At 38.7% G+C, this 18,312-nt stretch overlaps 1 long non-coding RNA gene and 1 pseudogene across 1 annotated transcript; both read left to right on the top strand.

Moving 5' to 3' along the window:
- The first annotated feature begins 432 nt into the window (after positions 1 to 432).
- Positions 433 to 7,345, top strand: LOC105372362 (uncharacterized). Its single transcript, XR_935907.2, has 3 exons — positions 433 to 545; positions 6,501 to 6,593; positions 7,307 to 7,345. It is a non-coding gene; the product is annotated as an uncharacterized LOC105372362 (long non-coding RNA).
- RNU6-967P (RNA, U6 small nuclear 967, pseudogene) lies at positions 11,165 to 11,272 on the top strand (annotated as a pseudogene).

The following is an 18,312-nucleotide window of genomic DNA, read 5'->3' as shown; positions in this document are numbered from 1 at the left end:
TATATATATATATATATAGAATACTTCCATATATATATATATATAGAATACTTCCATATATATATATATAGAATACTTCCATATATATATATAGAATACTTCCATATATATATAATACTTCCATATATATATAAATAAAATATATATATAAATAAATATATATATAAAATTTATATATATATAAAATATATATATAAAATATATATAAAATATATATATATAAAATATATATAAAATATATATATATAAAATATATATAAAATATATATATAAAATATATATAAAATATATATATAAAATATATATATATAAAATATATATATAAAATATATATATAAATAAAAAATATATATATAAATAAATAAAATTTATATATATATAAAAAACAACTCACACCAACTGTGCTCATCACCTTCTCTTTGCCTCCAGGTCAACTCTCCACCTTCCCACCCACTCTGTGCCTGGAAGGGTGACTCCTCTGGCCACCTCTGGCTTCTTGCTTGGTGTGATCAAAGGAGACTGGAGGATGCAAGGAGAGTGAAGCGGTATTTATTTCTGGTTCTGGGTTTCTGCAACTTCTCTCTGCCCTTTCCCCTTGCGCCCAGCCAGTGTTTAAATCCACCACTATCCCTGTGGTCTTCCAATACCCTGACCTCACCTTTGTGGATAAGGGACTGTTTACTCAATCCAGGCTTCAGGCTGTTTCCTACAGCTACCCATCTAAAAGCCTAAGAAATAAAACAAAATAAAAGTAGTTACACTGATGTATTTCTCCTTGGTTAAACCCCCTTCTTAGCTCTCAAAATTAATCTATTCTGGATATGGCATTCTCATTCTTCTGCTTGTTTGTATGCTCTTAGCTCATTATATATGGCAGCTGCTGTCAAGAGCTCCACCCACATTTCCTCACCTTTTTCATTTTAGTGCATTAGGGATCAACTAGTAATTTATTTTTGTTTTTGTTGTTTTGCCTGAGGGCTTTCTCTGGCCACCAGAGGTTACTTGGCCACCACTGTGTGAGACTAGAAGTGCTAGGGGTTAATTCCTCCTCCTCTGCAGCTTTCAGAAAAAGGTGGACCGGAGTTGGTGTATAAATACCCCAGGTCTCTCCCCACTCTGATGAGCTATCACAGGACATAGAATTTCCCTGCAGGATTAAGTGCCAACGACTAGCTGGCTAAGTAGCACACTTCTTATTGGCTGCTTTCCCTTCCCTGTCGCTTCTCCTCTCCCCTACAGTTGTTTTCTGGGATCACCTCCCAAATAAACGATCTGTACTTAAGTCCTAACTTCACACTCCTTTTCGTGAAAGCTTTGATAATATGTACACATCTCTAGGCAAATACAGTATTTTTATTTCCTTTAGGCTTTATGAAATGATCACACTGTCTGATATCTTATGTCACTTGCACCTGCTCTACATCATGTTTATTAGATTCAATCTCAATGATTTCCTTTTCTGTGAGCCATTCATTTTCACTGCTACATAGTATTCCATTGCAGGAATTGTTATTCTCCTTTGATGACTCTATAAGCATCTCTTTTTTTCTTTGCTACTATAAGTCATACTGCCATAAACATTCTCATAGCTACATATTTATATATATATGTACAAATTTTTCTTAGTTGAAAAGTTAGGAGTAGAGATGTTGGGTTACAGGGTATGCATGTTTTTAAATTTAATTGTTCTGCAGAGTGGTTGTATCTATTTGTATAACCTCCAGCTGCCTATTTTAATTCCTATTTCCAATGCTTGATATTGCCAGGCTCTCTAATATCATCCCATTTTGGAGGAGGGAATTGGTGTGTCGTTATGGTTTCAAATTGCATTTCTCTGATTAATACAAGGCCATTTTTGTAAATGGCTGCTTTGCATTTTTTTTCTATTGGTCTCATTGCTTTCTCTTTTAGAATTTCTAAACACTATTAAAATATTCTGGACCTAATTATTTGTATCCAGATACAAATGTGTGTGTGTGTGTGTGTGTGTGTGTGTTGCATGTATTGTGTTTTGTGGGTGTGTATTGTGTTTTGTGTGTGTGTGTTGTTGTTGTAATATATTCTTCCAGTCTATAGCTTATCTATTCACTTCTTAATGATGTCTTTGAATGTACAGAAGCATTACAAGAGTTGAAATGTGAAAGAAACTCATGATGTGGGTTGTGCCACTGTGAAGTTTCTCTGGTGCTCTGTGATGTATGCGTGAGGATGTGGTTCAGACCAAGTGGATAGAGGAAAACCTAGATGGAGGCCACTAGCTACAGCAAGTCATGGAGAAAAGTTGATGGTTTGAACTGAAGAGAAGGCAATGAAAGTGGAGAAAAAGGAGTATATTCAAGAAATACCTTGGATAGAGTTTATGGATTTTATGGAAGTGAGAAAGAAGTAGGTGACAAAAATGACCACAGGTTTAAGGTTTAAGAAAATCGAATGAAACAAGTACAAATGGCAATATATTGTGAGGAGACAATTGGGTGATAGTCAGAGAGGGGTGGAGGGACTTAGGGAGGAACTTTTGTAGTAGGGGACTTAATTGTGTTCTAAATGCATGGTGGGAATGGGAAGGAACCAGTGCCCACAGAAACAATAATGGATTGCACAATTTTTCTAGATTAGATTTTCTCAACTCTGGTTGTGCATTCAAATTTCCTGGAGAACTTTGAAAAAATGTTGATGTCCAAGATTCTATTCCTATCCCCCACAGTTCCTTTCTGGAGGCAGGTTGGGGCATGGGGTATGTGTGTGTGTGTGCGTGTGTGTGTGTGTGTGTTCAATAGAAGCTCACTAGGTGATTCACATGTGCAGCCAGGATTAAGAACCACTGTCTTAGAAGACAGAAAAGGCCGAGATCCCAAGTGTAGGTGGATTAGTTGGCCTTAGGTGCAAGAAGAGTTGCTCACTGCAACAGGAAGGAAAAATGGAAGATGGGAACAGATGCAGTATGTTTGAAAGTTTGATGATGGAATGTTAAGGAGGGTCCCCATGGTTGGTTTATATTTTCAGGAATCTTTACACAAAATGATTCCTATAATTCTTAGCCAAGACAAATGAGAGATTGTCAGATAAGGCAATGTGGGGGAGTGAAAACAAAGGGCTTACCCATGGTTACACAGTGGCAGAGTTGAGACAGATTTCCTGACTCCCATCACATCGTGACATTCCATGTTGGATCAGACCTAGCCTCCCTAACACAATCAGATAAAGAGCTGGGGTTGGAGTGGTTTCAAGAAGGAGGTGGTAGGAGTGTGCTTGCCAGTCTTCAGGAATTCTCTCTTTTGCCAATCCCAATATACTGGTCCCTAATTCATTTCAAAGTGGCAAGAATTGATGCAAGCTAACAGATTCTCAGGAGACAGATATTAGTTGTAAGCATGGAAAGAATGTATCTGAGAGAACATAATGACTTCTTTTTATTACCATCTTCATATTGGTTTTACTGTGAAATTAATAATTTGCATTCAACTAGTATTAGAGTTTGGGGGTGTTAGGACTTCTGGATCTACTAAGGTGGATTGAGAGGGGCTACAAACATGTTTTTCTTTGGAGAATAAGGAATGGAATTTTCTGAGAATTCCACCAGAAGCTGAACATTATTGGTTGCATTTTACGTATCCTGCTTAAAAATTTAGAAATCAACTAATTTACATTCTCACCAGCAGTGTAAAAGCGTTCCTATTTCTCCACCACCTCACCAGCATCTGTTGTTTCTTGACTTTTTAATTATCACCGCTCCGACTAGCATGAGGTGGTATCTCATTGTGGTTTTGATTTGCATTTCTCTAATGATCAGTGATGTTGAGCTTTTTTTTGTATGTTTGCTGGCTGCATGTATGTCTTCTTTTGAGAAGTGTTTGTTTATTTCCCTTGCCCACATTTTACTGGGGTTGTGTGTATGTTCATTGCAGAACTATTCACAATAGCAAAGACATGGAATCAACACAAATGCCCATCAATGATAGACTGGATAAAGAAAATGTGGCACATATACACCATGGAATACTATGCAGTCATAAAAGGAACGAGATCATGTGCTTTGCAGGAACATTGATGAAGCTGGAAGCTATCATCCTCAGCAAACTGATGCAGGAACAGAAAACCAAACACTGCATGTTCTCACTTTTAAGTGAGAACTGAACAATAAGTTCACATGGACACAGGGAGGGGAACAACACACACTGAAGCCTGTTGGCAGGGGCAGGGGGAGAGCATTAGGGAAAAGAGCTAATGCATGCTGGGCTTAATACCTGGGTGATGGGTTGATAGGTGAAACAAACGACCCTGGCACATGTTTTACCTGTATAAAAAACCTGCAAGTCCTGCACATGTACCCAGGAACATTTTAAACAGATTTTAGAAATAGATTTTTCCAGTCTTTTTAAATTATTGATCAACATGGTTGGAAAATTTGATTTGAAGAGGCTCAAACCTTGATGTTACTGGTGCAAATGGTTGCAGTGTTAAAGGTAGTGAGTTTCTTGAGATGCTTATAATAGCCCCTTGCTTAGAGATTTCTCTGTCTAGGGTTCTGTAAGTTTGAGACTCCAGAGAGGATTTTGACTGGGCTTGAGGGAAAAATGGGAGGGACCTTTGCCGACCAAATATAGTGAACAGTTTGAGCATTTGCTCTTTCAAGTGTATGAACCAGCTAGCACTTGCAGCCAGGACAATATCAAAATTTAATGAAAACTTAATAAACTTTCAAACCAGAGAAGTGTTTACACTACTCAGAAAGAAATGTTTGAACTGCTATGTCTGCCTGGCTATGAAGGAGAGGTGGTACTGCCATTCACTTGGGAACTATCTTTAGTAATAAATTTGGATGAGATTCCATCTGGTTTTCTTATCTATTCTTTTTATATAGTGCAATGTTGCAGGTGCAAGAGAATGTGTTTGAAGAAAAAAAATGCATATGAAAGTACATTAGACTGGAGTTTGCCATTTCATTCTCTTGGCAGGATAGCAGCTGCAAAATGAGTTTTTGGGGCTGGGGGAAAGGGTTCATTTTGAGGACTACAATTAATGAGCAGGAGTTTGCCAAAAAGAGACGGGATTATCAGTTAAGATTTTAAAATTTGTATTGCTCTATAATTAACGTACAGTGAAATGCATAGATCTTAAATATACAGTTTGATCAGTTTTGAAAAATATGCACACTAGAGTGACACACATCCGTGTTAAGATATAGTCCATTTCCACACTCCAGAAAGTTCTTTCATGTCCCTTCTCAGTACATTCTTAGCCTCTCTCTTCAGAGAAAACCATAGTTCTGATTTTTATCATGATAGATTCATCATATCTGTTTTAAAACAGTCACATAAATGGAATCATACAGTATGCATTATTTTGTCTGTCTTCTCTAGTAAGAATGACGGTTTTGAAATTCTTCCATATTTTGGATGTATTAGTATCTTTTTTTAATCACTGAGTAGTACACATTGTATGAAAATACCACAATTTATTTGTCTGTTCTATTGTTGATTGATGTTTGGGTTGCTTCCTTTTTTGTTGTAGTTGCTGCTTCTATTAACATTGCTGTGCAAAATTTTGAGGGACATATAGTTTAATTTCTCTTAGATAAATGTCAAGGAATACAAACCTGGGTCATGGGGTATGTGTATGTGTAATTTTATAAGAAACAGCCCTAGTAGTGTCCAAAATGGCTATGCCATTTTACTCTACCACCGTCAGTGTATGAGAATTCCAGGTGCTCCTCATTCTCAACATTTGGTATGGTCACTCCTTTTAATTGTAGCCATTCTAAGGTTTGAAGTGGTGTCTCATTAATGTATATGCGCCTGATGAAACTGGCCATTCCTGTATCTTTCTTTGTGAAATACATGTTCAAATCTTTTGCTCTATCTTATTATTGAGTAGGACTTCTTTATATTCTAAATATAAGCCATTTGACACATTTGACGTTCTCCTTGTCTTTGGTTATCCCATTCATTTATTTATCAATATCCTGTGATAAGTGGACGTTTTAAATTTTGATGGAGTTCATTTGTTTTTCTGTTAAATGCTTTTGGTGTTTTTTTTCCCCCCTGAGAAATCTTTGCCTGCCTTGAAGTCATGAAAATACTCTCTTATGTTTTCTTCTAGGAGCTTTGTAGTTTTAGCTTTTAGGTTTAGGTCTGTAGTTTACTTTGAATTAATTATTGTCTGTGATGGAGGACAGCAGTAAAATATTATTTTTTTCCTTACAGATATTGAGATGTTTCAGAATGTTTTGTTGAAAAGACTATTATTGCAATAAGAATTACTTCAGTGCCTTTGTCAAACATTTATTGACCCTATAGATTTGAATCTATTTCTAGATTCTTTGCTGTGTCTCATTGATTTTTTTGTCTCTCCTTATACAGAAACCATAGTACCTTTTCTATTATTACTTTACAAAAAAATCTTGAAAGCCTTTGTTCTTCTTTTTAAAAATTGCTTTGGCTCTACTAGATATATTTTTACATAAATTGTAGAAACAGCTTTTCAATTTCTTTTTAAAAAAGGCTTGTTGGATTTTGCTTGGCATGGAATTGAATCAATAGATCAATTTGGGAAGAAATGACATCTTGGAAGTATTGAGAATTTCAATTCATGAAGTAGGTACAGATCTTTATTTAGATATTTTAAAATTTCTCTTAGAGATTATATGTTGTTTTTCATGTAAATTTCTTGTACATCTATCGCTAAATTTATCTCTAAGTACTTTATGTCTATTGAGTATGGTTTTTAAATTGTATAATCTAATTTTTACAGCTATTATATAGAAATACAATTTATTTGTATTATTTACAGTGTATATTGTGACATTGCTAAATTCATGTATTAGTCCAGGTAATATTGTTCTCTTTGTAATTTCCTTAGGATTTTCTTCATATATAAAAGTGACTGGGAATTTCAGTACAAGGAGAAGAAACATCCTTGCCTTTCTCTTGATTAGCTGAAAATCTATCAATTGTCTAACTTGAAGTAACTTTGTTAGTTGGGAGTTCTGCCGAAGCCCATGACCAAATTTAGGAAGTTTCCTACTACTTCTATTTTGATGAAAAGTGGAGGTGCTGAATTTTATCAAAGGTTTTTCTTCTGGATCTACTGAGATAATCTTATAGTACTTCTGCTTCATTTTTTAATGTAGTGAATTACACACCAAAATGTTATAACAGCCCTGTATTTGGGGGATAATCTCATTTATTTGAGATGTATTATTGTTTTCATATGTTGGTAAATTAAATATTATAGTACTTAGTACAAAATTTTATCATCTATGTTAATGAGGGATATTTATCTGTAGTGTTTTTTTTTTTTTTTACAGAGTCTTGCTCCATTGCCCTGGCTGGAGTGCAGCGGTGTGATCCCCACTCACTGCAACCTCTGTCTCCCGGGTTCAAGCGATTCTCCAGCCTTAGCCTCCTGAGTAGCTGGGACTACAGGCACGTGCCACCATGCCTGGCTAATTTTTTGTATTTTTAGTAGAGACAGGGTTTCATCATGTTAGCCAGGATGGTCTCAATCTCCTACCTCATGATCCACCCGCCTCAGCCTCCCAAAGTGCTGGGATTACAGACATGAGCCACCATGCCTGGCCCAGTGTTCTTTTCTTGTGCAGTCTAATTTTGGTATAAGGCTTTTGCTGGCTCTATAAAATGACATGGAAAATATTTTCTCCTCTTCTACTCTCTGAAAAAGTTTGTGAATAATTTGTATCATTTGTTCTATAAATACACAAGAGAACTTATCAGTGAAGTCATCTGAAAAGGTTTTAATCGTGAGAAGGTTATACTGGTGAATTTAATTTCATTACTACATATAAAACTAATTATGTTTCCTCTTTTTCTTGGATATGCTTGAATAATTGTGCATTTCTAATATATTTTAATCCAAATTGTCAAATTTCATCAAAATTGTCAAATTTCTTGGCATACTATCCCTGTATTAGCCTTTTAATGTCTGTAGAATCTGTAGTAATGTCTCCTATTTTATTTTTGGTATTGAATATGTGTTTGTGTTTTTCCTTGGTCAGTCTTGCTAGTTTTATTTACCATTTCAAAGAAATAATCTACTTTATTGATTACCTTCGTTATCTTTATTATTTCCTTACTTCTGTTAACATTTTATTGAATTTGTCATTTTTCTAGCCTTTGAGATTGCAAGATTAAATTTTTTATTTTGAAACCTTTCTGTGTTTCTAATATAAGCAATTAAAGGTATAAAATTACTTCAAGTTCTACCTTATATGTATCTCATAAATTTTAAAATATTATAAATTTATTACTATTTCATTTAAGATATTTTAAAATTTACCTTGCACTTTTTAAAATTCATGGCATACTTGGAAGATTTTGTTTAACTTTCCAACACAGTAGTGTTTTAAAAAAACATATTTTATATTTGTTAACTTCTATTTTAACTCTATTTAATTTCATCATAGAGAAAATACTATGTAATTTCAATGCATAACATTTATTGTGTCTTCTTTAATTTCTTAACAGATGGTCTGTCTTGGAGAATGTTCCATGTGCACTTGAAACAAATATGTATGTTTTCTTGGATATATACAGCTCAATAGGTTAAATTGTTTGATAATATTCAGATATTCTTTTTCCTTACAGTTGTTTTGTCTATTTGTTTTCTTAACCACCGGGGCAAGAATAAAGTCTTCAGTTATAATTGTAAATTTGTCTATTTCTTCCAGTAGTTTTGTTAAATTTGCCTAATGTATTTTGAATAACTGTTTATATGTTGATTCATTTAGGATTGTTATGTCTTCTTGATTAATTGATACTTTATCAGTATAAAATATCTGTCTTTGTCTTTATGAATATTCTTTGTCTTGAAGTCTACTTTGCTTATAATATAGCTGTATTTTCTTTTTCATGCATATTGTTTACATGCCTTTTTACCTCCTTTTACTTTTCCCTACTTCTCTATATTTAAAGAGTATTTCTTGTAGACACTTAGCATATTGCTTGCTTTTATATTTTTAGTGTTAACATTAACAACATTTTATATTATTATTGGCATGGCTGGCTTTAAATCTACCATTATATTTATTTTCTATTTGCTTATTGCTCCTTTTTTCCACTTTTGGATTGATAATTTCTAGCATTTTATTTTTCCCTTGGCTAAATCTCTTTGTTAGTTTTAGTAGCTTTGTGTACTTTCTGTAATCACCATCTCATTCTTTCTATTATGATCGTCATACATTTTACTTTCACATATGTTAAAATGTCACCATACAATGTTATTTTCTTTCTTCTAATAATCAAATGTAGTTTAAGGAATTAAGAAATAAGGAAAAAGTATTTCATATTTAATCCATATATTTGCCATTTCTAGGTCTTTTATTCTTTCATGTAGACTTATTCCTTCATGTTGCAATCTTCTATCAGTTCCTTTCAGCCTGAAGAAGTATCTTAAACATTTCTGTGTAACAGATCAACTTGTGATTATTTTCTTACTTTTGTTCATCTAAAAAGTCTTTATTTTTCTTTCCATTTTGAGGGGTATTTTCACTGGATGTATGCTTCTAGGTTGACAGGATTTTCTTTCAGCATTTTAAAGGTGTTATTCCATTGTCTCTGGCTTGCAATATCTCCGATGAGAGAGAAGCTATTATGCTTATCTTTGTTTTTCTATAAGTAAGAGTCTTTTCCCCCTCTGTGTCTTATCCCATTTTGTGTTGCTCTAAAGGAATACCTGATGTTGGGTAATTTATAAAGAAAAGAGGTTTATTTGGCTTTGGAATTACACTTTGGAATTATTGGTGTCTGGAAAGTTCAAGACTGGGCATCTGTATCTGATGAGGGACTCAGGCTGCTTCCATTTCTGGCAGAAGGCAGAGGGGAGCCAAGATCCTGTGGGGAGAGGGGAAGCAAAGGAGAGAGGAGGTGCTGGGCTCTTTTTAACAACCAGTTCTTTAAGGACCTATTAGAGGTAGAATTCTCTCACCCTTGAGAAAGGGCATTAATCAATTCATGAGGAATTTGCTCCCATGACCTGAACACCTCCCATTAGCCCCACCTCCAACACTGTGAATCAAATTTCAACATGAGGTTTGGAGGAAACAGACAACCAAACCATAGCACTCTGGTTTGTTTAATGTTTTTCCTCTTTATCATGAATTTCCAGCAATTAGAATATAATGTTCATTGGTGTGATTTACTTTGATTTTTATCCTCCTGGAGGATCATTGAGCTCTTGGATCTGAGGTTTTGTATTTTTGACTTAATTTGAGATATTTTCAGTCATTATTTCCTCAAATATTTTTATCTGTACACTATTTTCCTCATCTTCTTTTGGGATTTATGTTTCACATATTTTAGAATACTTGATATTGAGTTCCAAGTTACAGAAGCTCTTTTCATTTCTTATGACAACATGCCCTATACCCAATGTAATTATTGAAGAAAATTCAATGTTTGCATAGTATGTAATAGTATGAATGTGTAATAATTTACTTATTATAATAAGAAGCTTCCAACATAGATCCCCCAAATCTCACCTCCTGGTATTCCCACTTGTATGGAATCCCTTCCTCTTGAGTAGGGGCTGGACCTAGCAACTTGCTTCTAATGAGTAGAACACAGAAAAATGAATGGGAAATCACTTCTATGATTAGATTATGAAACACTGCTAGCAGTCTCTTGCACTCTCTTGTCTCGCTCGTTATGACAATGTAAGCTTCAATGTGGAGAGGCCCACATAGCAATAAATGGAAGGAAGACTCTTAAAACAGCCAGAGAGTAACTGAGACCTTTGGAACTGAATCCTACCAACAACCATATAAATGAGCTTGGATGTAGATTCTTCTTCAGTTGAACCTTCAGAGAAAACCCCAGCCTCAGCTGCCACCTGAGAGCAGTCTTGTGAGAGGCCCCCATTTAGAGATCCCAGAAGAGCAACACCCAGATATCACATACATTGTGATATAATAAATCATTACACTTTGGAATTACACTTTGGAATTATTGAGTCATTACACTTTGGAATAATTTGTTACACAGCAATAGATAACAAATACGTTTCTTCTATCTACTATTTTTGGACATGCCTCTTTCCTCTTTTATTTGCTATTATAAGTATTACTGCATTAAATAGCCTGGAGAATATAACTTCATCTTCAGAAACTTATTTACACAAGTGGCATTGGTAAGTCAAAAAGTATGAGCAGGCCTCAGTTTGGTAGTGCATATAATAAAAGTTTGGAATAATACAAAGAAGATTAACATGGCCTCTACACAAAGATAATATGCAAATTCACGAAGTGATCCATATTTTTTTTTACAAAGGCTTAAAACCCATTCAATGGATGAAGGACAGTGTTTTCACCAAGTGGTGTTCTGTATCTTGACTGTGGTTGTAAATATTAATACATGAACCTACACATGGGATTAAGTTGTACAGAACTACACATGGGATTAAGTTGTACAGAACTACACACACACACACACACACACACACACACACACACCAATGAGCGTACGTAAAACTGGAGACATCTGAATGAGGGTGCTGAGTTGTATCAATGTCAGTATGAGGTTGTGAAATTATACTGTGGTTTTTAAGATGCTATCATTGGGGGAAACTAGGAAAAGAGTGTATATGATCTATGATCATTCTGTATTATTCCTTCCAACTAAATGTGAATCTATAATTATCTCAATAAACATTGTAATTTTTAAGTGAGATGAGCATTTTTATTACTTACTATTTATTTATTCATTTATTTATTTTTCTTGATTATAGAGATGGGGGAATCTCACTGTGTTTCCCAGGCTGGTCTCAAACTCCTGGGCTCAAGTGATCTTCCCACCTCAGCCTCCCAAAGTGCTGGGATTACTGGCATGAACCACCATGCCCGGCCAAGATCAGCATTTTTATAATTTCAAAATACATTAACACATTTCACTCCAAGAAGAGCATAATGTAGAATTCTACTCACCATATGAATGAGCTAGTTAATGAGCATGCTCACTATTGTGGATTTATTAATTTTTGGCTCATTACAGTACGATAGGGAATTCTGTGAAACCAGGAATAAGGAAGATAAAGTGAGTTTTTTAATTATTATTTTTAAGAGGGTATTTCTGTATTGCCCAGGCTGGAATGCAGTGGCTTGATCATAGCTGACTGTAACTTTGAACTCCTGGGCTGAAGCTATCCTCCTGTCTCAGCCTCCCAAGTAGCTAGGACTACAGGCATGCTCTACTACGCCTGGCTAATTTTTAAATTCTTTGTCAGGGTGGGGTCCCACTATGTAGCTCAGGCTGGTCTCGAACTCCTAGCCTTAACTGATCTTCCCATCTTGGCCTCCCAAAGAACTGGGATTATATGTGTGAGCCACTGTGCCCTGACAATTGTTTTATACTGATAAAAAATTTACTTAACCAAGAATATATAAGAATCAACATAATTCCTATATAATTAATGAACTCTTACTTCCTTGTGCAATGTGGCACAAAAATATATTAAGTAAAACAACATGACAGGCCGGGTACGGTGGCTCAAGCCTGTAATCCTAGCACTTTGGGAGACCAAGGCGGGTGGATCACCTGAGGTCAGGAGTTTGAGACCAGCCTGGCAAACATGGCGAAACCCTGTCTCTACAAAAATACAAAAAAATTAGCCTGATGTGATGGTGGGAACCTGTAATCCCAGCTACTCAGGAGGCTGAGGCAGGAGAATCACTTGAACCCAGGAGGCAGAGGTTGCAGTGAGCCAAGATCGTGGCACTGCACTCCAGCCTGGGTGACAGGATCCATCTCAAAAAACAATAAAAACAACAACAACAAACAAAAACTATATGACAATAATGTGACATTCTCCTCTGAGAATGTAACAGATCAGGCAGATAATAAACATAGATAAAATTTAAAAACATTACAGACAAGGTTGATTCTCTATCTAAATATAAATCTACATATATCTGCGTCTATATAGTTATATCAAACAATAAAACTGAACAGTCTTCAAATATCCATGGGATAATGAGAATTCCACACCCAGACACCCACACACATGGCTTTAAAAATCCTAAAGAATAGGACTAATTTCAAATTCCATGACCCCAATATAGTAGAAGTAGAAAAAAAGGAAAATCTTAGGCAGAAAATTTAACCCAATTGCAATTTAAAGATACATTCTAAATACTTGTGAATTAATTAGGGAAACAAAACTGAACTTCTTCCTCATTTATAAACACTAAACATTGAAGATAAATGATGGAAACATTCCATGGAAGAGGCTAGAAAACGAATAAGACATTTCTTTTAAAAAAATCCTGTGGTGGATTGCAAAACTGGAGGCAAATTATCCCTCCTGCTGGTGTCTAAGCTCTCCAAGCTCTTAGCATCATCAAGCTCCCACACTGACTCTGAGCTTGGCCTTGGGACCTGCTTTAGCCAATGGGGCAGCTGAAAACATACCACAGGCAGACTTGAAAAGCATGTGCACATTCTATTTCACTCTCTTGTTGTGGTCACCATGTGGAGAAGCCAGGGTTAAGCTGTTGCTTGGTGAGAGGTATGTGGCCCCATTACCCTTGTCACCCTGGCCAACGGCCTGCCAGCTGCCAGTTGTATGACTGAGGGCATCTGAGTTCTTCTAGCCACCAGCCCACTCACCGGCTGATCTTGGATGCCTGAGTGAGCCTAGCAATGATTAGCTGAGGCTGCCTGAACCACTCAGCCCACCCACAGAGTCGTGAGCTAACTAAATAGTGGCTGTTTTTAAGCTGCTGAGTTTTGGGGGTGGTTTGTTACACAGCAAAAGCTGTGGCATGAAAACATAAGGTTAAGACAAAGAGGCAGTTGTTGCACAAAGTTACAAGTTGTGTCACTGCTCTCCCATCATCTGTGCTAATGAAATAAAGTAAGTGCTAGGCAAGCGATCTATAATGGTGTGGCTGGAGCCGCAGAATTCTAAGAAGGTGTACAGAGCTTGGCTGAGAGCAGAGGATATCGCCCAAGCCTGGGCTCTGTGCAAGCATTTCCCCTTCCCTCTGCACCTAGGCATAGAATTCACCCTGGTGACACAGGTCTGTTCCACACCAGGTCATGAGCCACTTTGTCTGAAACCGGGAGAATCAATAAGGCAATCCTCATAAGCCTCATGGCCCTCACTCGTGGGTCAGGGCTGTGGGTTCTCAATGCAGTGAATTCTATAGCTAAGTGGACACAGGTCAGGCAATGAAAGCAGCCTTTGCAGTGAGAAGCTGGGCTGAACCACAAGTCAGTCAGTGCAGACTGCAGGGCCAGGCAGCGCACACAGCGTAGGTCCTCTGCACAGGTTTGAATGAAGGTGTACACATTGTTAACATAAGGTGCACATAGGTGTAGTGACACTCCTGTGTCTGGGATTATCCTGTGGGTGATTCTCCAGGTTTCCCTGGGCAGAGGAACCTGGAATCCTTAGCAGATGGGGTTGCCCAGCCGGCTGGCTTAGTCTCAAGCCATCTGAACGGAAGTCAAGGATTTCTGCAGGGACCTGTTCTTCCACAGGTGTTCCTGCAGCATCGTAAACAAGATGGAAGGGACAAGCCACATCTGTCTGTTTGCAATAAAAACAAACCCTTAAGAACAGACAAGATGGCACAGAGGCACCACATCTGTCGCAAGGGGACCAGCGGCCGCTGGCAGTTTTTATTTGGCTTTGTTTGTGCAGCTGGGAGGCGGGCCTGGTGGGAGACGGCAGGGTTTGTCTTCCGAGTCCCAGAAGCAAAGGAGCAATTAGAGTCCTGTCTGGCCCTGCAGGGTCAGGAGCTGCACCATTCCTTTCTAAGGGGGCTGGTAACCTCTCTCTGGCCTGCAATGATCACTTAGCCCATATGCACGGTCCCCAGGGCACCCCCTGCCCATGCCTCCACATCTTCATGTGCTTAAGAAATTGGGAAAGACAACAGGAATCCAAAGAGAGGGTGGTACAAGCAACATTCAACAGCCAAAAATTCTCATCGCCAAAAATGCCCATTTAGATCTAATTTAGACTTTAAAACTAAAATGTCTTTTTTTTTTTTTTTAATAGGGTCTTGCTCTGTTGTGGTCTGGGCTGCAGTGCAATGGCATGATCACAGCTCACTGCAGTCTCGACTTCCCGGGCTCCTGCGATCCTCCTGCCTCAGCCTCTCGAGAAGCTAGAACCACCATGCTCAGCTAATTTTTAAAATTTTTGTGGAGGCCGGGCGTGGTGGCTTATGCCTGTAATCCCAGCACTTTGGGAGGCCAAAGCAGGCAGATCACGGGGTCAAGAGATCGAGACCATCCTGCCTAACACTGTGAAACCTTGTCTCTTCTAAAAATACGAAAAATTAGCCGGGCGTGGTGGCGGGCGCCTGTAGTCCCAGCTGCTGGGACGCTGAGGCAGGTGAATGGCGTGAACCCGGGAGGCAGAGCTTGCAGTGAGCTGACATCGCTCCACTGCACTCCAGCCTGGGTGACAGAGCGAGACTCCATCTCAAAAAAAAAAAAAATTTGTGGAGACAGGGTCTCACCATGTTGCGCAGACCAGTCTTGAATTCCTGGCCTCAAGAGATCCTCCCACTTCAGCCACCCAAAATGTTGGAATTACAGGCATAAGCCACTGCACCCAGCTGTTGTTGATTTTATAATTGGGAAGTTCTGGATACATTCACCAAAGCTGAAGTTTTCTCCATTGTCCGGGGCCCCGGCTTTGTGCTCCCCTTCTCCTGCTGGATCTCTCACCCCTGCGTGACCCAGTGGTTTGGAAATGGCAAGCTCCAAGGGGCCAGGACTCAGTGTGGCTCATTTTTGTGTCCCCAGCTCCAGAAAAGGCCTGGCACACTATAGTCCCCAAGTCATTCACTCATAGTAACTCAGCGGTCAGTAAGGTCACTTCTAGGTGATTTCTAGAGATTCCTCCAGGTGGTCAGTCTATTCTGCAAGGTCTTTGGATTCCTCAAAAACCTGCACTGGTGAATCTCAGCAGCATGGGATTTGGGGAAGTCCCACAGGGTGATTGACACAGCCTTTGCCACTTTTTAGGTTTTTGATTCTTATAATTGATGTTGAGTTCCAAGGCTTCAAAGTCAGGATGAGACCGGGCATGGCTGCTCACCCTTGTAATCCCAGCACTTTGGGAGGTTGAGGTGGGAGGATTGCTTGAGCCCAGAGGTTTGAGTCTAGCCTAGGCAACATAGTGAGACCCCATCTGTACATACACTCACACAAAATAGCCAGGCATGATGGTGTGTGCCTGTAGTCCCAGCACTTTTGGAGGCTGAGGCGAGAGAATTGCTTGAGCCCAGAAGTTCGAGACCAGCTGGGGCAGCATAGTGAGACACTGTCTTTACAAAAAATAAAATAAAATAAATTAGCCAGGAGTGATCACATACACCTGTAGTCCGAGCTACTCTGGAGGCTGATGGAGGAGGGCGGCTTGAGCCCAGGAGTTGGAGGCTGCAGTGAGCCATGATAACTCCAGCCTGGGTGACAGAGTGAGACCCTGTCTCAAGAGAAAAAAGAAAAAAAAGAAAAAGTCAGGATGGGCAATAGTAAGAATGAATAAATAAACAGGTAACTTAGAGTGTTGCTGGATGAGTTGGGAGCGTGCTGCTATCACCCTGCACATGCTGCCCTCCCTGGTCCCAGGAACAGGACATCTTCTCTCTGCACACCTTGGTCCTTCTCCTTCCAGGCTTTGGTGTCCAACTTGAAACGTGGCTGCTTCTCATGGCTTCTCCTCCATGGCTTCTCCTCCACCTTCCAACCAATCGAACGGCTTTGGGGACCTCATATATTCTCCATTCACCTGCCCAGCTTCCCTGTGTCTCTTAAACCTTCACAGGTGGCTACATTTAGCCTGGCATAGACAACAAGGCCACTGGCACACAAAGCTTCAGGGATGCTTGTCCCAAACTGGTGCTCATAGATGCTGACACTGTCACAGCAGTCCCCGTTGACACATCTGTTCATAGGAAGAGGAAAGACAGCACCACTGCTTAGCTTGAGTTGAATTTATTTTTGTTCTACGAGACTGCAGAAGTCGAGACCCATGATGCCTATCTAAAAATCCAACCATATCAAAAGAAAGCCGCTGCTCTATAAACGAGATTAGCTATCTCCCAATTTCTGTGTATAAATTGGCTCTCAATTTAAACTTCCTCCCCTGCAGTAGTCCTTCATTACAAACCATCATTGCATCAGGAGAACATTGGAAAAAAGAAAAGCAACACAACAAAATACTTTATTTCATTAATCTGTTTAGCAATACCAATATAATGAGGCATAGTATTGATTTTCTTACTTAGGATTTAAAATCTAGACTTCTTTTCACAGAATTAAATGCTTCAAACTGATATTCCACCTCTTTACAGTCACATCTTTAATTTAGTTGTTATAATTAGGCATTAACGGGTGTCAGTAGGATAGCCAGTCAGAGACCATTCTGTTCTGCTTGTCTTGATTATCACAGTTTAGATGTAAAGTAAATTAGAATGAAAGACTATACAGTCCAATTACAGATAAAAGCAGCAAACTGCACTGTTGTAATTAGATGCCAGGACTATTTTTCTTAGATTTTGTATCTCTGAGGGCCTTTCTTAGAGCTACTTGGCTGAAGCTACTGCTAAAAGATTTCAGAGTGGATCTGAATCTTTGAGGCCATCTTGTCTCTTCCAAAACTTGAATTCTGACTGGGCTTTCCTCCTGGGAGCCTCTTTTCTTTACCCAGAGCCCACGAGGACTTGCTGGAGTTTTTTTCCCTTGGTGCCAGGGTCTTCAGGCATCCCTGCCTTTCAGTGGCTGGGCAACTCAGGTAGACTGGGGTGTAAGGATTGGTTTTTTCATGCGTCCATCTGGCTACCCCATCCCTCTTCCTCTGACCTCTTCACCACTTCCTTTTCTTCCCCTCCTCCTCTTCCCCGTTCATATCTAAATTTGAATATTTCCCTGACGTTTTGGCTCAGAATGGTGGTCCAAACCACGCTTTAAACCCCGGCAGTGGAATTTACTAGAGGTGAGGATATGCTAAGGGTGCCTTCCTTTAGGCACTGTTTATCTTTGAGCAGAGAGGGGAACAGCCAGATGTGGCTGCTGAAGAGTGACTTAGAGGTAATGGACCCATTCATTCATTGAATAAGCATTTATAATCAGTGTTATAATAAGCATGTATTGACTGCCCAGCCTGCCGGGTGTGTGTCTGCCCCACAGTCACCAGGTCCTGGGTCCCCCACCCCTAGCAGGTATGTGTCCCTGAACAGTGGCAAAAGCACTTGTGAGCATGAAATCTCTGTGTTCTGTAAGGGACAGAGCAGGGACACCCAGTCCATATGGGAGGCAAGTAATCCCCCTGTCCTTCACAACA

The sequence above is a fragment of the Homo sapiens genome, chromosome 19, assembly GCF_000001405.40.
Source record: "Homo sapiens chromosome 19, GRCh38.p14 Primary Assembly".
NCBI classification, from domain to species: Eukaryota; Metazoa; Chordata; class Mammalia; order Primates; family Hominidae; genus Homo; species Homo sapiens.
Note: the sequence above shows the minus strand (reverse complement) of the source record. Positions and strands in the feature narration are given on the sequence as shown.